The sequence below is a fragment of the Homo sapiens genome, chromosome 2 (assembly GCF_000001405.40).
Source record: "Homo sapiens chromosome 2, GRCh38.p14 Primary Assembly".
Lineage (NCBI taxonomy): Eukaryota > Metazoa > Chordata > Mammalia > Primates > Hominidae > Homo > Homo sapiens.
Window position 1 is genome coordinate 168,210,240 of NC_000002.12, and position 22,643 is coordinate 168,232,882.

General features: G+C 39.7%; 1 protein-coding gene, 1 long non-coding RNA gene and 1 pseudogene across 8 annotated transcripts in view, besides 1 other annotated feature; 1 reads left to right on the forward strand and 2 right to left on the reverse strand.

Annotated features, from left to right (window-relative positions):
• The window catches only part of STK39 (serine/threonine kinase 39), a 293,574-nt gene that overhangs the window by 256,218 nt on the left and 14,713 nt on the right, over positions 1 to 22,643 (reverse strand). The window lies entirely within an intron of this gene.
• Positions 581 to 1,780: an enhancer, noted in NCBI's record as "P300/CBP strongly-dependent group 1 enhancer chr2:169067330-169068529 (GRCh37/hg19 assembly coordinates)". NCBI's record gives its function as "activates an origin of replication core promoter dependent on BRD2, BRD4, P300/CBP, MED14 and CDK7 cofactors, with strong dependence on P300/CBP, by STARR-seq in HCT116 cells {active_cell/tissue: HCT116}" and the evidence as "EXISTENCE:reporter gene assay evidence [ECO:0000049][PMID:35650434]".
• LOC124906088 (uncharacterized) lies at positions 1,211 to 3,184 on the forward strand. The gene is made up of 2 exons (XR_007087283.1): positions 1,211 to 1,293; positions 1,760 to 3,184. It is a non-coding gene; the product is annotated as an uncharacterized LOC124906088 (long non-coding RNA).
• Positions 21,096 to 21,985, reverse strand: PHF5AP5 (PHF5A pseudogene 5; annotated as a pseudogene).

The following is a 22,643-nucleotide window of genomic DNA, read 5'->3' on the forward strand; positions in this document are numbered from 1 at the left end:
TCACAAATATCACCTGCAATTTTAAAAATTAAAAGTGTAAACCCAAAGAATTGCAATGCAAATATCAAAAGTTCACCTCAAAGGTCATTTATCACCATTTTTTTCCCACCCCTTCTTGAAATGCTGGCTCAGAGAATTGCTATGAAAGAAAATATGTTGTGGTTTCATTAAAATTTCTAACTTAGAGATGTTGCAAACTTCATTATCAGTTACTGGATCATACAAGCTGCACACACATCAAGACACCTACTCCCATTAGTTAAGCAAACTATCAAACTTTGTTGTTTTGTTTTGTTTTGAGACGAAGTCTTGCTCTGTCGTCCAGGCAGGAGTGCAGTGGCATGATCTTAGCTCCCTGCAACCTCCGCCTCCTGGGTTCAAGCGATTCTCCTGCCTCAGCCTCCCTAGGAACTGGGACCACAGGCACCTGCCACCACACCCGGCTAATTTTTATATTTTTAGTACAGATGTGGTTTTGCCATGTCAGCCAGGCTGGTCTCAAACCCCCGACCTCAAATGATCCTCTCACCTCAGCCTCCCTAAGTGCTGAAATTACAGACGTGAGCCACTGCGCCCAGCCTCAAACTTTGAATAACGGATTTAAAATCTGAACAGGAAAATCTTTAATCTCCTCTTTGTTTTCAGCAGGAACACTAGAGAAGAGACAATCTACACAAAATAATATACAACTTAATTATAATTTCACTTGTCTTTCTCTGAAATAAGGCAAAAAAAATGCTCATCAAAATTTCAATGGTGAGTAGTCATTATATGGTTAAAAAGAGAAAGTATAACGTATTAGTCCGTTTTCTCTATTTACGTAATCACAATGAACAAACTGAAACTTCAGTTCCTCTAAATCCAACTTTAAAATCTTGCACCCTCAATATTCTAGGGCAAAAAAAATTATTAATTAGCTATAAATCTAGACAATAAAAATATTTTAACTTAGATCCACCCAAAAGGCAAAGAATGACTGTTATCTCTCCCACCCCATCTATCTCATCTCAAGAGTGTTACTAAATATGGATGTATTGCTCAACTTCCCTGCTCCACACAAGTATAGACTGCAACTAGAGTGACTGTTCTTCATTTCAAACACATGAGTCAAGAGGAAGTAGTAGTAATTATTTATTGGTCAGCACACATTCATCAGGTACTCACCACATATGTGCACCTGTTTATAAGGGTCATTTCTGTTCTAGAGTTTACCAGAGTTCACCAACCCTGTGAAGAGACAGGCCAGGAGTTCAGCCTTCTCAACCATGCTTTGTGCCTTCAACCTCTAAACCAGTGAGTTCTGGGTAATATTTGATGATAGGAAGTATTCCTGCCTTAAAGATGGGACTTTATATCTGCATCTGCCTTCCAATTTATTCTTATATTTTAATTTTACTTAGTTGTGGGTAGCAAACATACTGTCTACTTGATAAAGCATCATCAACGCCCTGTCTTACGTCTCTGAGGAGCTCATGAGAGGAATCTGTACTAGTCACTGTGCAAGAGTGGAAAATAATCTGTCAGTGTAGCTGTGTGCAAACACCTCCTCTTTCTGCACAGGGCGTTCATGTATAAATTCCTATGCCTGGTTCTGAAAGCAAAATTCTGACACAAACACTCACTGGTTCTCTTATTAACTAAGTCTATACCATAATCAGGGTGTGCATACCAGCTGCTGGGAATGGAGAGGTGGTGGTTAACTGCCCCACTCTGTCACAGTTACTTTCAAAAATGACTTACTGATCATTATTCGTTTTAGTTCCACAGAAAGAATGAGACATCTCAGTTGAAACTAATACCCAAAAGGAACCTGAATGGCACCTTTAAAAAATATCTCATCCAGTCATCCAGAACCTTTGTTTCTCTCACTTTAGAAGAGGTGAAAGAAGAAAGCTTGAGTCGTAAATTGAAGACCTTCCTGTTACCTTCCTTTTACAGAAACAAAAGCAGCTTGTCAGGCAAAGATTATCTGAATACCTTGTGCTTAACAAACAGACCAGACGAATATATTCGTTCAGTGGAGTGTTTGCGTAAGGAAGCTACTGAAACTTACTGTTCTTGAGAATGTTTCCTCCCCATCTCACCTGCAGGGAAAGAGCACCGACTTCCTCCCTAACCTTAAGTACAGACCAATAAGCCCTCCTGAACAAGCCTTCATTCATGAAGTTGTCTGTTCTGACCCACCTCTCCACATTGCCTTGGCCAACTCTCCTGACCCTGTGCTCCTGGGAAAATTACTCAACCTCTCTGAGCCATGTGAGATGTGAAAAACCTCAGTTAAATGTCTGAAAAGGGCTCACTGGTATAACCTGATAACTGTTTAGAGCATGCCTCAAAGAGCACTAAGTTGCAAAGAAGAACTCATTCCATGCTCCATGACTAACCTTAAACCAGGCATTCACAACTTGAAATGTGTTCATAGCATAGCCCTGTAAACTTCAGGTAAAGGTCACATTTCAGACCTTTTTTGTAAACAGTAAATTATAATAGTAAGTTACACGTGAAGACACTGTCCTTACAACACATCATATCATGACCAGTACAGCCTAAGGGTCCTCCGATCATCCTCTCCCTCCTGGGTTCCTTGTAAATGTTCCCAGTGTTACTGGTTTGGTATATCTCTTTCTGGTCCTTTTTCCTAGCCATTTATACATACATCCTTGAAACCACAAAAAAGATAAAGCAGAAGAGTATAGACTCCAGGATAGCCATTATGGAGGAGAATCTGCCTCTGCCAATATTTAGTCATATTAAGTACATAAATATCCCATGATCCATTCATCCTGTTGGATGTGTCTCCCAGTGACTCGACCCACAGATCCATGAGTGCATGTTCACAGATGTTCCCTGCAACGCTGTGTGTGGAAACTGGGAGTTGCAAGAAGAGATAAGGAAACCCATGGTGACAGCAAATGTCTAACAAGGTAGATAGATGGATTAATCATAAGAACATAGCGCTGAATTTAGAAAGTGAGAAATACTAAGTGCTAGAGCACAAAACTATTTGTGTAGATTTAAAAACACACAAATCTCATCTGCCATAATAACCACATACCTCAAATGATTGCCATGAGTAGGGTAAAACATGAAAATAGTCCCTGTCATGTGTTAAGCACTTAGTAAATATTCACTATTGTTAGATAAAAAGATGTTCACAGTATACTATAAACTTTCTATTACAAAACTTCATTTATGATATCGTCCTTTCTCAAGTGCTTTTTTCCTATTAAAAAAAAATATATAGAGGACCAGCCTGGGCAAAATAGCAAAACCCTGTCTCTACAAAAAACAAAAACATTAGGCGGGCATCGTGATGTGTGCCTGTATTCCCAGCTACTCGGGAGGCTGAGGTGGGAGGATCACCTGAGCCCAGGAGGTGGAGGTTGCAGTGAGCCAAGATCACACCACTGCACTCCAGCTTAGCCTGGGTGACAAAAGCCAGCCATATTTAAAAAAAAAAAAAAAAAAAAGTGTAAGACAAACTGGAACACCATGTGAAAAACTGCATAGAGCAGTTAACCTTGGGGGGAATGTTTATATGTTTTTAGCTTATTTTCCTTGCTTGCTCATATTTCTATAATGAATATATATGACTTTAGAATTTTCTTTAATCCTTAATGTTCCTTTCAATATGGTTTCTGACAAACAAAAATTAGAAACATCCTAAAAATCCATCAAAGGCTAAGTAGTTCAATTATGGTATATACGAATAGTAGAATATTCTATAGCCACTTTTTATCAACCTGATAAACAGTATAATGTTGTGTGGAAAAAGGCAGGCTCTGAAATCGCCCACGTGAAGACCTGAGAGGCCGGTGGACAACAGTGGTGGAGCAGCATGGACTCTAGAGCCAGCCTGCCCACCTCCACATCCTAAGCTGTCATGCAATCCCAGGCAAGTCACTCGGCATCCCTGAGCCTCAAGCCTCATCTGCAGAACAGGGTGATGACGGTGCCTGCCTAGTGGGGTTGCTGTAAGCAAATGTGAAAGATGTCAAAAATAACAACAACAACAACAAAAAAAAAACACAAGGTCCACTAAAAAGTGGGTACATTTTATCTACGTAAATTAGATCTCAATAAAGATTGATTTGAAAATACATGCATGCGAAAGATCACATATTGTTTAATTCCATTTATATTCTGGATAGTGTATCCAGAATAGGTAAATCACATACTGTTTAATTCCATTTGTATTCTGGATATGACGTATATCCAGAACAGGTGGTCGCCAGGGGCTGGGAGAAGGGAAAATGGAAAGTAACTGTTTCATGGTATGGGGAATGGTGGAAATGTTTTGGAACTAGACAGAGGTGATGGTTAAACAACGTCGTGAATGTACTAAATGCCACTGAATTGTTAATCTTAAATGGATAATTTTATGTTATGTGGATTACACCTCAGAAAAAGAAGCATGTAAAATAATAACATGTTTTACAAGAATATATACAAAGGATATACATAAATATTCAAAAGGTTGACTAAGGGGGAAAGGCACGAGTAAGGGAATAAGGATAAAAGAAAGTCAAGAAATAATGTTGTACAGGGTAATTCTGAAAAAGGTCCTGCCCAGACCACTGATAACTGTGTGCCACGAACTGAGGTAAGATTTTCCTCTACACTGGAAATCCAAAAGAGTGTATTGGTTTGCTGCCCCTTTTTGGTAGCAACTCTATTCTTCATTTTGTCATTTGCTGTTTTTACCCAGTAGTATATCTCTTGGAGCTCTCTTCATGTTAGTACATACCATCTTTTATCAGTCTCTTTTACAGCTCTAGGGATGTACCATGATCCATGTGTTTTCAACACCGTATTTGCGCTGACCTTATATAATATGCCAACGAATGAAGGTTTCACAATGAAGGATCAAAAATGGCTTGCAACAGTGTGTGCCAAACAAAAAGCCCTTTTCTGAAATAAGTTTAAATTGTAGAGTTGTTTTTTATGCATCCTTCATAGCCAGACTGCTCCCACAAACCACTGGCATTACCAAATGGCCAGGACTCCAATCATACTCTCCCCCCATTTCCACATCCTCCAAACTGAGGTTGATTTAATTTGATTTTACAGGGGAGAAAAAAAACGTTAGCTGGATAAGAGTTCATTGTGTGGTTCTTTGCTCCAAGATGACCCTTCCGTAAGCCCCGTGACCACCTGGCCTGGCTGTTTGGTATTAAGTTTAAAAGCCTGGAATTAGTTCAGAGAATACACAGGGCGTTAGCAATAAATAAGTTCATGAAGCTCTCCTTGGACCTTCTGACTCCTCCAGCTACCATGCTAAAAACTCTACTTTTGCTGGATCTGTTTCCCAAATCCCAAACATCAACATGTCACCTGCTCAAATACAGTGTATCTAACAGAGTTCTCTGAGACTTTTTCATCAAAATAAACTAAAAGGCTGCCCTTTCTAATAATTAGTCACGAATGTCAGTTGCCTCAAGGTGACACAGGAGAAACAAATCTGACGTGTAAAGGAACAGCAGCTGGAAATAATCAGACAAGAGGAAAGGGGGAAAAAATGGAAATATTCCTTTCTGGGCTAGGTGAGGAACTGTATTTTAGAAAACCTAAAATAGCCTTTTATCAGAGCTGGGATAAAGGTCATCACCATGGACCATGGTACTGGGGTAGAGGACAAAGCCACCTCTCAAGTGCACCTCACCCTGCTCTCTAGGGACTGACCAGAGAGTGGGGTCTGTGAAGGTGCCAAGGATGCTCTAGCATCTCTAAGGACTGGGCAGTTATGCAATACATTTATGTTTTTGCATAGCATCCCTCCCACAGGGCATTCCAATAAGCTTGACAAAGGAAATCTTTCATGTATTGGGTAAAAGCAATGTGAGGAGAAACCTCACATTGGTGGAAGAGAGACAGGAAACAGAGTTCAGATATGGATAGGCCTCCCGTGCTTCCTCCTTAGGCCTGCAAACCCCAACCCAATATGAAGGGCAATGGGAGAAATGGGCAAGGTGACCTGACCAGAGGTACATGGAAGGTAAGGACTGAGTCAAATCAGAGGGAGACAGATGAAGGCTTCCTGTCTCCCAGAGAAGGTACGTCCTCACTCTTGGCAAAGGCAGAATCATCTTCTGTCAATCGACTTGAGGTTGGTTTGGGTTTTTGTTTTGTTTTGAGGCCAGCTATTTATTCTACTTGCTAAATAAGAAACACAAGTAGCAAAATATTTTCCTAATTTACGACTTAGCAGCCTAATTTATTTTGACAGAAACAGAAGCACGCCTGCACACCAAGGCAAAAGTTGTGTTTGGCTGTTTGAAGATCTCCTTGGCATTCCTGCAGGAAATTCCTAGGTTTGGACAGTCCAGGAGAAGGGGCTAAATGTCTTTTTTCAGTGACGTGAGTCATCTAATGAAGTGGCAAATCGCCATCCTCAGCTTGAGCAAACCTGACAGAAATACGAGTTTTTAGGCAAAGAAACGTTGTTATAAGCCACCTTCAAAAGAAGACATTATTCGTGTGCTTTCAACTTTCTAAAGCCAAGGCTAATGCCACCGCCACACCTCTTAGGCATGGATGATCTCATGAACAGCAGCGGACTTTCATCTCCTGAGAGGTCTTGGTCACCGGCTCTGTGCCAGGCACTCCCCAGCTTGGTGACTACCTGCATACCTGCCCCTTTCCCATACCAGGAAGCTTTACCCAACCAACCCGCTAGGAACAAGGCTTTTTTAAAAGCCAGCCCAGGAGCCCAGAGGGGCGCTGGTTGGAATATGGTGAGCTCTAGTCCTAGGTTCTCAGCAGAAGCAGACATGCTCTGTTGGGAAAAGAAGACTGCTCAGACCTGCCAGGGTTGTATTTCCACAAGCCATTATCCTATGATGTGAATAAACTCACAACACGAAAATCAGTGATTACGTGTTTCTCTGCAGCTCTACCTGTGTCTTCAAAAGCATCCCACTCTCCCATGTTATTGAAGAACATTCCACCAAGGGTGCCTAGAAAGTAATGAGTCTGAATTCCTTAAGTCACACAGGGAACATGTTCCATTACAGATCCACCTGGTAGAATTTCCTATGGACCTTCATTATTGGAGGAGGAGATTCAGATTCAGCATGAATTAGAAAACCCCAATTTCTATCAATCAGAAAAAGGCCAGTATCCGGATGCAGGACGGGGAATACTCTGTTTCTTTATCGTAACCTTTATTACCTTCCTATACCACAGAAATATAGATCTGGAAAAATCAAAGAATCATATAAACTGACATTTCAGAATATTTTTATGTGAGGATCACAGATTATCCGATCCTTGGCCCCACTTCCCACAAAAGAAAAAAGATATACAGTTGCCCCTCAGTATTCGTGGGGGATTGGTACCAAAATTCATGGATGCTCAAGAACCCTGTATAAAATGATGTAGTATTTGCATATAACCTATGCATATCTTCCTGTATACTTTAATCATGTCTAGAGTAATACCTAAGACAAAGTAAATGCTATGTAAACAGATGTTATACTATAACATTTAGGAAATAATGGCAAGAAAAAAAGTCTGTACATGTTCAGTACAGATGCAATCATCCATTTTTTTCCAAGTATTTTCAATCTACATTTAACTGAATCCACAAATGCAGAAGCCATGGACATGGAGGACTGACTGTAGACATATTTAATAGTCAAAGCCAGCCCTAGAAACATAGTCTCCTATGGAGGGGAGGAAGAAAAAAGCATAACTACTAATTCTAAGATCACGTCCATGTTATCATGATTTAGACAGAAATAGCCTCCTAGCAGTAAATCACTAAAAGTCTCTTTATTTTGAAAGTACTAAGATATGTAGGATCATATAAACATCTTTTAACACCATGTCATCATTAAGGAGGCAATAAATGGAAATTACTGGCATAACTTTTGCTAAAGGGAATTGTAATGGAGAAAGAATTTAAACAGAACTAGACCACATAAATTGGAAGAGAGTTCCCAGATAACCCCACACTCTAACAAAGCTTCTCTACTCTGAAACATCGGCACTGCAGCTGTCACTTGCCAAGGCCCATGGGACAGCAGAGGTGAATGTACAAATTAGACAAGTAACTTGTAAAGAACCACAAAAGCTCAGAAAATTCCCCAAAAGAATATCTTGGGAAAGTTCACTTTCGCAGTGTTCAACATGTATGATCTTTTCCGCTAAGCTGACTGGACAAAGTCCTATCATCAAAAATAGTGACCGTAGGGCACAGCACCATGCATACCAGGGTCAGGTCATAGGACAGCGGTATTTGCGTCAACTGCTCTCCCACTTCTCCTAGCCAAACGCTCAACCAAGGTAGGCTTGCTAGAGCAAGGGCCAAGTCACCTAAAGAACATGACTGTCCTGAGAGAAACTCCTGTGATTTTGTCTGAGTAAAAAGGCTCAGAGACAAAATCGAAACAGTGTCACATCTTTCCAAAAGTAATTCCAGCCATAGAGAACAAACAGAAGAACACAGAATACACTCCTCCTCCACCCCCAAAAAAATCAAGTGTTAAGAAATAAAAGCAGATTCCAAAAGCTCTAGACTCTGAAAAAGACGTGGGGAAAGCCTCAATTAAACACAGAGAAAGCTATTAGGAGAATCAAAAGATTGACAGAAGTTCATGCATCCATTCAACAAATAACAACCAGCTCCCAACTAGTGGTACGAACCGTGTTAAATCTTACTACATAAAACTCAGGACAGGCATGCTTTTTATTCTTCAGGAACTTAAAAAGCTACCAGACGAAATAAGCTATAATTATGCCCAAGCTGCTACATTACACAGCTACAGGTCATTTTCCCTAAGAATCATATGAATCAAGAATTTGGGGTGGGCATTTAGGTGGAACCTTGAAAGATTCACATAATTTGTATATTAAGGAAGAAAAAGTGAGATGATAGCACTCTAAAAAGTAGGCAGAGGGTCAGGCGCGGTGGCTCATGCCTGTAATCCCAGCTACTCGGGAGGCTGAGGCAGGAGAATCGCTTGAACTCAGGAGGTGGAGGTTGCAGTGAGCCAAGATTGAGCCACTGCACTCCAGCCTGGGTGACAGAGTGAGACTCTTGTTTCAAAAAAAAAAAAAATCTTCAGATATTTTCGGTGTGTTCAGATACTTTCCACATACACTTAACTCTCAATTTATTGCTCAAAAGCCTAGCAGAATACAGATAAGTCAGGCACTATGGGGACTTCCTACCCTGGACGGAAGAGGTCTCTATCTCTGTCCACTTCCTCAGGGAGAAGGAGGCTTTTCTGTGACTTCTTTTACTTCCTTGCCTCCTACTAAATCATAGAGAGTTGTGTGTAGGTCTCCTCTATCCCTCTACTGTCCAAACCCAATGCCAGTCAGACAGATGCCCTTAGCTAAAGAAAAAGAAAACATATCTAACCCATTCCTGACTTTTTCTCCAAGTGGTCTGGGGCAAGCAAGCACTCCTCTCAATGCAACAAAACTCTGGTCTCACAATTGCTCTCCTACCAATCTCAGTGTTGTCTAATGGTCCAGGTTTAGAAACTAAAAAAGCCATTTATTAGAATCACCATTTAAAAAGACGAGACAGTGTTCACAACTTGATAGATGCCTTCCAGGCCCTGACAAGTTACCTTGATATTAAAAAGGAGACGTCAAGTTCCTTTAACCTACTTTTCTTGCTTTTTTTTTTTTTTTTGCAAATTTTGATTTACAAGTTTACTTTAAACTTTATCATCCAAGCATTATCTGCTCATCTTACTATAGAATGCACCTTGAAACATAATGGTATGCTATGAGGTACTGTCCAAGGAAAGAGATGGAGAGCCTTCCTTTGCTTGAGTATTTGAATAATGATGATAATCAAAGTTGTTCTTTAACAAATTTTAATGTGAATAATATATACATTTATAAATAGAGATAAAGGTCTCACTATGTTGCCTAGGCTGGTCTTAAACTGCTGACCTCAAGCAATCCTCCTGCCTCAGCCTCCGAAGTGCTGGGATCACAAGCATGTGCCAATAATGAAAGGAAACTAAACAACTCAATTCGCAACAGCAACAAATGCCCAACAAAGCTGAGAACTTCTCTGCTGAGAAGCAACACACATGTACTGAATATGCTGTTGGTTTATCTAGTGAGAGTTCTCCTGGGGCAAAGAGAAAACCACTCTAAGCAGCACAGCATAATGGTTAAGAGGGGATTTACAGACTCTGGAGAGTGAGAAACTCAATTTGACCCTAGCAAATATTTTAAATCTTTGGCTTCATTTTCTTCATTGGCTTGATATCAATCTTAAATGAGATGTGCATGTAAAAAGTACTTGGCAGAGCAGCGATTAATAGAGCACTGATAGGTGAAAGAGATGACTAACATGGATACAGCTCTCCTCTCCCAAAGAGATGACATGTATAGTCAACGCCAAAAGAGATGTCAAAATCAAAGGCAAGTCATTTCAATTGCATCAAGAAAAATATTCCATAAAATCAAAGGCAATATTTCTAGGGAAATTTTGGTTCCTAACAGTTCTCCATTAAATGCTTGCTTAGTTTCTTCTGGATGCAATAAAAACTTTTTCTCAAAGATAATACAATTGAACATGTGTCCGACTGAGGAGATTAAGATTATACACACTGCCCTCACTTTCAGTTAAATACCACCTTCAATTAAATCTAGGCTGCATTGCAGGGGTCATTTTTTTAAAAGTGAGTCACTTCATTTAGTATTTTTCCAGTAAAAGGTGGAAATCTTTGGCTTCGAATGCTGATCTAGGAGACAGAGTCAGAAATAATGGTGATTCCTCTTGTTTCCTGGGTTGGTTTCTTTTGCATTGCAGTAATTCATTTACTTGGTTAAGTCATACTGAACTGCTGGTGATTTCAGAAGAGGCAGGCAAGTGAACACATGAGCAGGATGATAGGAAGTAAAAAATTCCACTATCACTAGGATACCTTTGTTCAAAGGCACAACTCGATTAAGTTCACATCCTGTGGTCATTTGTCGAGTTCTTAGAACAATGGTAAATTTAGTTGCTGGGTACAACAAAAAAACCATTGTTTCTTTTCGTTATTTCTCTTCCTTGTTGAAAGTTTAAACATTGATTGTCTCAGAGTCCAGAGTTTACATACAAGCTAGAACATTATGTTAATACATGCGTGTCAAAAAACAAATACACACACACTTACATGTATATTCAGTTAGTGTTAGCATTTAACCATGTTTGTATAGGCAGCACTAAACTTCAAAAACTTTTTATGAACAAAATGGCAAAGTTGTATGAAAACATTAGTCCTGTCTCTCACTACTAGTCTATCTTGGAACAAGACAACTAGTCCGCAAGACAGAATAGATGGCTGGAATTTCCAAGTTGGAATTGAAATCCCTTCCTTTAGGATCAACAGTACAACTATATAACATGCTACTGATGAAAGACAGGAGGACTTTGGAGATGGAACGATTAGTTACCACACCTCCACCAGAGAATTACCTCAAAGGGTATAATCATTTCCCTGTTTGTTTCTCTCCTGCAGACTTTCCAAGTTCCTCAAGGTCAGACCGTAAAGGGCACTTCTTCTTTGGATCACCAAGATGTAGCAACGCTGGCACTCACCGGGGCGCAACAAAGACCGAATAAAGAGATGGAGGATAATTAACCCATCGTCTGATCAAGAAAAAGCAGGGAGATTTAAATTCTGACCTTCAGCCAGCTCACAGTTGCTCAGGTCTTTCTAAAGAATAGACTCTCCACTCTTCCCACCCTGTTTCACGATTTAATAAGTATGGTTCCACTTTCTCTAACATGGAAGGAAGAACTTTCCTAACCCACATGGCACCTTGAACTACCAGCCAGGAGATGACAGGCATGTTTATAGAGTAGTGTATTTGCATCTTTTTTCCTTCTTTTAAATATCTAACAGTCTGCTGTTTTGGCTGAATATTCCAGTCTGGTTTCAATGGTGGGGAGCACATGAGCGAAACCCTACAGTGTTTTCACTTGGTGTAGGAATCTCTCTCCCTGCTATAATGAACTGTGAGTCCACTGCCAGAATTCCTCTGTGCTCTTTTCAGCTGTCAGCACTTTAGCATTAATGCTAATAACTTTTCTAAACCTCCCAATGTCCCCATCATTGCTCTGGAGAGATGACAGGCCATGAGGATTGCTGCTTTATGCAACTTATTTTATCAATTGCATTTTTAGGTACTTTGCGTGATGGAAGAAAGAACGAGAGGAGTAGTAAGAGGGTATTTTTAGAAGATTCCTCATCTCCTCATATCTTCTGAGCCTTTTTACCAATGTAGTAGCATTAATTATTTTGAAGACACATAAAAAGTGGTTTGGAAAGTAAGCATTTCCATTCATGATTTCCCTGTATGTGAAATGTTTAAGTGCTTAAGCTACCATAAGATTAATCCCTTTTTAACACCACAAATAAAACCAGTTAGAGGATAAATAGGTAAAAAGTAATCACTAAAATATAAGGTTTGAAAAGAGAACTTTTATCTATCTTAATTACCCTATAGGAGGTGCTTAACTAATGTTTATTGCATGACGGTGAATTCTCTAGTCAGTGAATTCTCAATTAGCCATACCAATGGAGGGGTACACTGATGTGGAAAATATAAATAACAAGAGACTTCACACATTGAGTTCTTTCCATGTAAAACAGAGACAATAATACCTGTCCATTGGGTTGTTGTATGGACTAAATGAGCTAAATATGAAATGCATTTAGCCCAGGAGCTGACAAGTAATAACAACTCCTCAGTGCTAACTGCTATTATCATAATCATCATTGTCATTTACTATGTATTGCACATTCATGATCTTTAATCCTTAAAACAACTCTGCAAGGCCAATATGATGGTCCAGATTTGGTGCTGAAACACCACAAAACACACTGAGCCAAGTAACTGGCTCTCAGTCATAAAGCTAGCAAATGATGCCACTGGGCTCTGAACCAGGGTCTGCCTGGAGTTTCCTCCAATTGCCAAGTGATGCTACTTTAAAAATAGGGACCTTTCTTCTAGAAATTCACTTCTTGGCCAGGCGCAGTGGCTCATGCCTATAATCTCAGCACTTTGGGAGGCTGAGGTAGGCAGATCACTTGAGGTCAGGAGTTCAAGACCAGCCTGGCCAACATGGTGAAACCCCGTCTTTACTAAAAATACTAAAAAATTAGCCGGGTGTGGTGGCACGTGACTGTAATCCCAGCTAATCGGGAGGGCGAGGCAGGAGAATTGCTTGAACCAGGAGGCAGAAGTTGTGGTGAGCCGAGATTGCGCCACTGCACTCCAGTCTGGGTGACAGAGTGAGACTCCGTCTCAAAAAAAAAAAAAAAAAAAGAAAAGAAAATTCACTTCTTATCCTGAAGTTTGAGAATCATAAAGCTAGGTCAGACAGCAAAAGTGAAGGAGGCAAAGAGGACCATAGCAAGGGTGACAGCTTTGCAAACAGCCAAGACTAGGTTCAGATCCAGCTGCGTGACCTTCAACTGACTGTGATCATCCAAGTCTCTGCCTCCTGATTTGTAAAACTGAGATAATCACACCAACCCTCGCAGGAATGAGGAACGGATCAGGCATCAAGTATGCTGAGTAATTGGTCCAGTCCTTGGCACACGGCAGGTGCTCCATAAATGTTTGTATCAGAATTATCTGGTCGACTTGAATTGCTTTTAAAAGTCCTCCTGGTATGGAGGAAAAAATCCCTCCCAGAATTTTGACTTTGAATATTTTTTCTAAAGGTTGCTCTACCTCAAAACGTAAAGTAAAATTCTCCCCAGAGTCAAATTACTTCTATTACACATAATTTTTCTTTTGTCATGTATTACTTTACACACATAAACACACAAATATATCTTTTGCCTCTGTAAACATAAAGAAAAAAAGATTATATATAGTCATATGTTCTATATATAATCATATTCACATAAACTTTGGCACTTATAAGGGGAGAAAGAAAAGAGTAATGAAAATTAAACCAAAATAGAAAAGAATAGGAAATTCTTAAACTAAAAAAACAAACAACAAAAAAAAATCGCTTTCTTAGAGCACTGTTATGCTACAAGATAACTGATGAAGAGGCTCTATACATACATATGTACTGATAATAATGCTGATAATAATGCTTATAAAGACCCATCAGCATTCAAATAAAAAAGGATAAACAAGGGGACACAGTCAAAGGGAATATGGTTCAACTGTTTATTTAAATCTGGTAATCAGATAAACCATCAATCTATAACAAAATAACAGTAGGAAAATTCATTTCATTATTGCATGAAATGAAAACCAAAAGAAAGCGCATTTACAAATGCACACTAAGCCAGGCATTAGGTGATTTTCAACTCCTCACCAAAGCAATCAAATAGAGATTAACATACCTGTCAGCTGAAACCAGGCTGTCAAAATGAAAGCCTTAAATTACACATGTCCTTAACAAAAAGGATTTAAGAGATTTTTCTCCTAACTAATAAGGAGCACTGCATAGTTTTTAATAAAACAATAATGTTTAATTTTGCTTATGTGCTAAAAAGGCATTTTTAAGGAGATTAAAACGCAGATTCAAGACCACCAGAAGAAACTTTCCAACATGAAATCAGACCATTTGGTCATCTCTTCTGAGTACGTTGTTCATTTGTCTTTTACCCAGCAACAATTCCTGCAAAATGATAATCAAAACAGCCTTTTGGTAAACAGGAGCTTAAACACTGTCTCTCAAATCAGATTACATTTCAAGTGATCTGAAACTAAGACAGCACTTCATGAACATGGTTCTCATTTTAAAAAGTCACAGGGAAACTGCCCTTTGAGGTTCTGAGGGACACAGACACCAAAGTTTAGGACTCAGCAGTTCATGATCACTGACATATCCAACCCTCTAGCCATCGTTTTGAAAGTGAAGCAGAATGGGGTTCAGGAGGAAGAGAACAGGGCAAAAAGGGATACTTAATAGTGACCCTGAAGAGGAAAACAAAGCAACCTTGAGAAATCTTCCAGGGGATATTAACAAACTTGCATCTCTGAAACACTGGACCACCAAATACATCATAAAATTTGGGAGGATCAGATTCTCTTCTCAATATCCATGGAGAAGATACTGCTGATAAAACTATCAAATACATCATAAAATTTGGGAGGATCAGATTCTCTTCTCAATATCCATGGAGAAGATACTGCTGATAAAACTATTGACATAGGAAAGTTAGTTCCTCAAAGAGTATCAGGTTCCAGGTATATTTTTCAGAATTTTATCACCATTACATAAACAGGATGAACTACTTCATAGTACTTTAAATCCAGCAGAAAAGGCAAGACCAGACCATATCTCAGGATTCGGGTATCATTATTTCAGAATTTAAGACAATTTATAACTGAAACTGGGCATAAGATTTCCCAATTTACAATCCATAAGGGAAAAGGGAGGTTCTTCCTAGGGAAGAAAGTTATTTATTGACTCAAAACAATAAACTGCTCTTTAAACACATTGTAAGTATATATTTTAACAAAGAAAGTACATTAGATCAGGATTACATTTTGCTGATTAGGGTGACATGTCGTCTCTGTCTCGTGACCAGTTACTTACCTAAGAGCAGTATTACATAAAACACTCACTAGTGGTGCCTGCCACACTTGTGATTCCTTCCCAGGCAGGAACTTCCGATGCTACACCCTTCTCCAAGGAGGGTGTCTGAGTTTAGGGCAGTCAGGTGTTCTATGAAGGGACTCACTAAAAACTAGATTCTCAATCTTTGGGATTAAGATTGGGAAATACAGACAGAATCCAGCAATTAGCAGCCATAGTTGCGGCTAACAGGGAAAGAAGAGAGAAGCTGGATGGGCCATAAGGAGCTATGAGTGAGCCAAAATTCTGACTAAGTAGAAACAACATGACAGAGAAGACATGCACAGATAGTAGGTAAGAAAGCCAGGTAAAAACAGCCAGAGAAGCAGGTGGGCATGAGCAAAGCAAACACATGCTGATTGGCCGGTTACACTAAGGTTAGAGGATCCAGAATAGTGAGGATCCAAAGTTTCCTGCTGCTGAGGTCTTATCCACTTCCCAGTCCATATGCAGACATTTCACTGCAATTCCCAAGACCGAGACCCTCAACTTTTCCAGGATGCTAGAAAACCCAGGATTATGGATGAGATTCCTGTCCCCCTATTCCCACATCTACCTTTATAAAGAATGCCCCATTATTTGGGTAATTTTAGTGAGTCCCTGTTCCTTACAACCTAAAGGGCAGATTAACCAATTTTGTTATATTCTATAATCCAGACTGCTCACCAACTCAAAAAAATCTTTCCATAAATTTGCTCATACAAATAAACTTCATCACACTTCATTTTTTAGACCATAAGTGATGCAACTTTCATTCCCTAAACTGAGGCAATAATTTTTTCTTTTCCAATCCACAATTACCCAACCATCCCACCCCACCTCACCCCACCCACCATTTTCTCCTGACCTTAGATATTTTAGGTCTGGGTCAAATCGGGAATAAGGCAAGATGCCTTCTCACTATAACTCCCTCTTACCTTTAAGGTCAGTAATGGGAGCAAATAAGCTAGCATTTAATTAGTACAACTGGAAGAAATTGTCACAGTATCTATCAAAAGTATAAATGCAATACCACTGGCCCTGGCCATCTGAAATTCTGGATATCTATCCCACAGAAATAATAAAAACTTGGAAACAATCAATAAGTTCATCAATAAAGGAATTAGTTAAGTAAATTCAGCTGCACTCATAGAATAGCAATGGATCCAGAATACACATTTTTAAAGGAGGTGGATCTCTGAGAAATAGCCTGGAATGACAGCTGTGAATATTTATAATGTGTATACTTTACTAAAAATATTTACAGAAAATATACAGAAGTAAAATACCCAAGTAATATATATATATTACTTTGAAGAAGTAAAATTTACAGATTGCAGAACAATACGTATAGTTTCCACATTACATGTAAAATTATTACATTTTGGAAAAATCTTTATGTAGATGTATACATAGAAAAACATCTGCAAGGATACACACCAAACTGGCCATACAGGCCATCTCTGGGCAATGAAAGTTGGGAGTTATTTTCATCTACTTGATTCATAAATATTATACATTTGTAACTTAAAAAACATTTAAAATAAAGACTAGTCATGCCAAAAGCTATTTTGTCCTTTTGTTCTAAATACTATAAAATCCTTAAAATTTAGCGGACCACAAAATTCAACATTCATATCATCAAATTAAATTCCTATTCATTTCTCCCACATCCGCATGAAATCACACAGCTAGTTCTACAAAAAGATACCACATATTTAATTCATCTAGAAAATCCTCATGCTGCCAGCTCTAGGTTTCATACGAAGTCACTATGAAATCCAAAAGTCACTACTCTGTTCAAACACATCCACAAACAGTAAGAAAGTTACTGACTCTTAACTTCTCTCTGTGCCAGAACTTTTTGTAAAACAATTTTTCTTTTTTATTTATTTATTTTTTTGAGACGGAGTCTCACAGTGCAGTGGCACAATCTCAGCTCACTGCAAGCTCCACCTCCCAGGTTCACGCCATTCTCCTGCCTCAGCCTCCCGAGTAGCTGAGACTACAGGCACCCACCACCACTCTCGGCTAATTTTTTGTATTTTTAGTAGAGATGGGGTTTCACCGTGTTAGCCAGGATGGTCTTGATCTCCTGACCTAATGATCCGCCCTCCTCAGCCTCCCAAAGTGCTGGGATTACAGGCGTGAGCCACCGCGCCTGGCCAAAACGATTTTTCTACCAATCAACGAAGTGCCAAATATCAGAATAAGGTGATCCAATAGTATCTAGAAGACAAAAGGCAAAGTATAATAGATACTCCTAAGAAATCTAAGTCGTAACACAGACATTAAGAGTAGATTGTATTAGATGTATTCCGTGATTCTGAAAACATTTAAGTATGAGAAAAAATACACTTAACACACTTTGCAGTAATCATAAGGCATGCTTGTCAGTGTATGCCAAAATCTCAAGAAATAAAATCACTTTTGCCAAGCAAGTATTAATCTAAGACTAGTTTATTTTACTTGCCGTAACAAATTAAATGTGAAAGTACTGGGAATACAAAAAAGGTAGACATTTCTAAAAATATCAATTTACACTTTTTTTTTTAAAGTTCTATGCCATGTAAATATATACTCCTACATCAAAATTCAAACAGTGTCTAGCCTTGGGTGATGAGGTTACTTTTCCTCCTTTTCACTCATCAGTGTTGTATAAATTTTCTACAATGACCTTATATTATTGTTTGTATAATATTTGAGAAGTATAAAATAGGGCCAGGATCAGCGGCTCACACCTGTAATCCCAGCACTTTGGGAGGCTGAGGCAGGTAGATCACCTGAGGTCAGGGGTTTGAGACCAGCCTGACCAACATGGTGAAACCCCATCTCTATTAAAAATACAAAATTAGCCTAGTGTGGTGGTACATGCCTGTAATCTCAGCTGCTTGGGAGGCTGAGGCAGGAGAATCACTTGAACCAGGAGGCAGAGGTTGCAGTGAGCCGAGATTGCGCCATTGCACTCCAGCCTGGACAAGAGTGAAACTCCATCTCAAATAAATAAATTAATTAAATAAGCTTGGAATTTTTAATAACCTCAGAGATCCAGATAACATCTTTTTCTCAGTGCTTTTTCCTTACATGAGAAAGGAACTCAGGCCAGCCACAGGAAGGACACTCCACAATTCTAATCCCACGTCCAGACCTGTCTTCCAATGTAATAAACAGGTCACTTAGCCTTTAAATCTCTAACTTTATAAAGATAACATTTAGCCCTCTTCCCACATCTAAAAGCATATAATATTTTATGATAAGGGCTTTTACCAGACTTTACAACTTAATAAAAGGTAAAATAGGCCAGGCGTGGTGGCTCACACCTGTAATATCAACACTTTGGGAGGTCAAGGCGGGTGGATCACAAGGTCAGGAGTTTGAGACCAGCCTGGCCAAGATATCAGCCTGGCCAATATGGTGAAACCCATCTCTACTAAAAATACAAAAATTAGCCAGGTGTAGTGGCAGGTGCCTTATAATCCCAGCTACTCCAGAGGCTGAGGCAGGAGAACTGCTTGAACCCAGGAGGCGGAGGTTGCAGTAAGCTGACATTGCACCATTGCATTCCAGCCTGGGTGACAGAGCAAGACTCTGACTCAAAAAAAAAAAAAAATTAAAAGGTATAACAGTACATCTCCCTTCCTTCTATTATTTCTAAACAAAACAAAAAAAACTAAAACAAGAACTAAAAAAAATGAAGAGAGGCAAACTCTGTAATTCTGTCAGTAACTATTACAAAGCTTCTAATATTTCTATCCTAATAGGCTAGCAATTCTTTTTGAAAAACTGTGAAACGGGGAATAAAATATTGCTGGATTGACTTCAAAGTAAAGAAACTTTCTTAATTAAGCAAAAATCTACCTTTAAATTGAGTGATGCACAGATAACGTGTTATTTTTCGGGCTGTGACAAATCTAGCTCATGACTTGTAGGTGGCAGGAGAAACAAATACATATGCATGCAAACAATCTATGTTTTTAATGTGGTGTTGAGTTTTAAGAAAGTCAGTCTGGAATAAAACACCTCAAGGCTAAAAAAGGATCAGCATTACACACACACACCCTCCCTCCCCTTCAAATATCACATTGGAATCAACATCTTTAGATTGTTTAGCAAGCGATATACTCCTGAAGCCACTTCTACAGCAAAAATCACTCTGATGCTTAGTTCATACAGCAAATTAGTCTATGAAACCTATAATCAATGGCACTATAACAACGAGAGTGTACACAAGGGTAGTTGGGTAATAGTTTCCCCTAATACGTGTGAAAAACAAAAGTTAGATGAATGACAAATATTGTATATTCATCTTCCTTGTGCTAAATTGAGCTGCTGTGGCAAGGAATTTGCAAAATGGCAATAAGAATTCCTTCCATCCTTGTATATATATCCCTCTGCCATGGGATTTTACCACTCCTCCCAAAAAGTAGAAAAATCTATCTCCTTTCCCTTTGAATTTGGGCTGGCCTTGTGATATGCTTTAACCCAAGGAATGTGGCAGAGTGGCATTGTGTGACTTTCCAAGACTAGGCCTCAAGAGTCTTTGCAGCTTCCACTCCCACTATCTTAGAACACTGCTGCAGCCAAGAAACAAAGTACAGGCAAGTTTCTTCCAGGATGAGAAATCAGTGGAAAGTGAGGGCCAGCCAACAGCCACCACCAACCACCCAACACGCGAGCGAGACCATCTTAAAAGAGCCCCAGCCAAGCTGACCATGGGTCTGACCCCAAACTGAAGAAATGCCCAGCCCAGCCAAACCCAAATTGCTAACTTGTATTATAAGCAAGTACAATGGTCCTTACCTTAAGCCACTAAGTTTTGGGATGCTTTGTTACACAGCTATAGATAGCTGATACAGGGAATGTCAGAATCCATGATGAGAGAACCGAGCCTTTCAGTCTGTCAGAGGCACCCTCGCTGGCAAAACTTCAAAAGAGGCACCTACCTCAACAAGAGGCTGCTGCTGAATCATCCTTGGAAAAATTACACTCTCCCTATCAAGTCCCTTGCCTTGACCCCTTGTCAAGTCCTGCAAATTGTAAACTTGGAAATGCCCCCAAGTTCTTATTCTCCCCCTTTCTCAGACCTGCTCAGGTTTGAGGTCTCTTGCTGCTGTGTAGTAGTCTTTGCTTCGGAATGAGCCCGTCCATTTTCTCCCTGGCTTCACAGACCTGACTACAGAATCCCACCCACCACCCTACCAGACTCCTCTCAGCTACCATCAGCTTTTACTTTTGCAATCCCTACCTCTATGCCAACAGCTCACTGTAATCTCCAACCAAGTCCTAGTCTTATCACTTCTATGAAATAGTGATCCAGAATTTACTACAAATAATAGTAAACAAAACTGATGGTAAACAACTAACAGCACTGTCATGCTAAAGAGTCATTTTGTAAGGTTACATACTTATTCCAATACAAATACCACTGCTTAAAACATTTTTGGAAGTATTTTAAAAGCAAATTAATGTCACTTTAGAAAATTAGTCTCATTTCTTCATAGGAGGACTGACAGAAATGGCTAAGTTTTTTGCTGCTGTTGTTTTTTACCAGAAAATAACCACCACCTTTGTTAACATAATAACAACAGAAAGGATTTCCAATTTCTCAGGAGGAAAATAACATGACACCAGCACAAGTGTTAAAAGATGTTAAATGGTTAAGTGTTAAATGGCTACATTTCTTATTCTGATAGCTTCCCACCACACACCGAAGGTTCCTCAAGGACAGCTGCCACCAGAGCTGCTGCAAGAACATGTTTTTCACTGGGTGTAGCTTCACAGTCAACTCCTCAAGCAGAAGACTAAAATATTATTTCTTTTTAGAAGATCTTGGTTGAGGGAGAACATATCAATATGGAGAACAGATCTTTGCTTCTCGAATTCAAGAAAAACCACTAACTAATCTATCAATTTTTCTCTGATACAGTGTGCCAGAGTGCTCTGTGAAGAATCCTTTTCCATCCCTACCACGTGTCTGGGTGAAGGGAGAGGAGGGGTGGCAAAGTGCCAGTATACTAGCAGGCACTCCTGGTGATGCTCTGGGCTCCGCTCCCTCTCTGCTGGTAATAGTAGGCATCTTTTCTGGCAGCTGCAGCAGCTTGATGTGGGGGGAGGAAGGGGCCACCCACCAATCACCTCTTCTTGTAGCCATATTTTTTGCATTCACAGAAGAGATCTGTCTTAGAGCTCCTCAAATTGACAATCTTTGGCAGCCATCTCTATTCTCCTGGATGGTGCACTCCTTACAATAATAGGCATCAGAGACTCCAGGACCTCCAGAGACCACACAGTGCCCCTGGTAAGATCCACAGTTACACTCATCACATCACCAGAGTGCAGGGACGCACACAGGAGTCACAAATCACACACTTGCTGTCACGTTTTTCACATAGTCTTCCGATGGCAACATAAGCCTGCTTGCGGCAAAAGATCTAAGTTTTCATTTAATATAAAATGTAGCTATAAAGTAAAAATGGACACCCTCCCACACATCCCCCTGAAGGAAAGAACACTTTCTGTACATAAAAATTCTGATATGATTAATTGAAGGTCAGTCATACCTCATAAAGATCATCTTTCCTATTTTTGTCACTCCCTTTCTTCCAGGTAGCTCCAAAAGACAAGGAAATATTTAATTTTAAACAACTACATATGGCTAAAAATAATTTCATTTTTTAATATGATAGACGAACAAAACGAGCATCCAACTGTAACTTTTACCTGTCCTAGTCACTGGAACTTCAATTATCCTCCTTTTCCATAAAGACTGTTTAAGCAAAAATATGTTACAAAGCTGCCTATATTATCTATTTCCAATGGGCTTTAAGGAACAGGACATGAAGGCCAGGCGCAGTGGCTCACTCCTGTAATCCCAGCACTTTGGGAAGCCGAGGCAGGCAAATCACGAGGTCAGGAGTTTCAGACCAGCCTGGCCAACATGGTGAAATCCCGTCTCTACTAAAAATACAAAAAATTAGCTGGACGTAGTGGCAGGTGCCTGTAATCCCAGCTACTCAGGAGGCTGAGGCAGGAGAATCACTTGAACCCAGGAGGCGGAGGTTGCAGCGAGCCGAGATCGCGCCATTGCACTCCA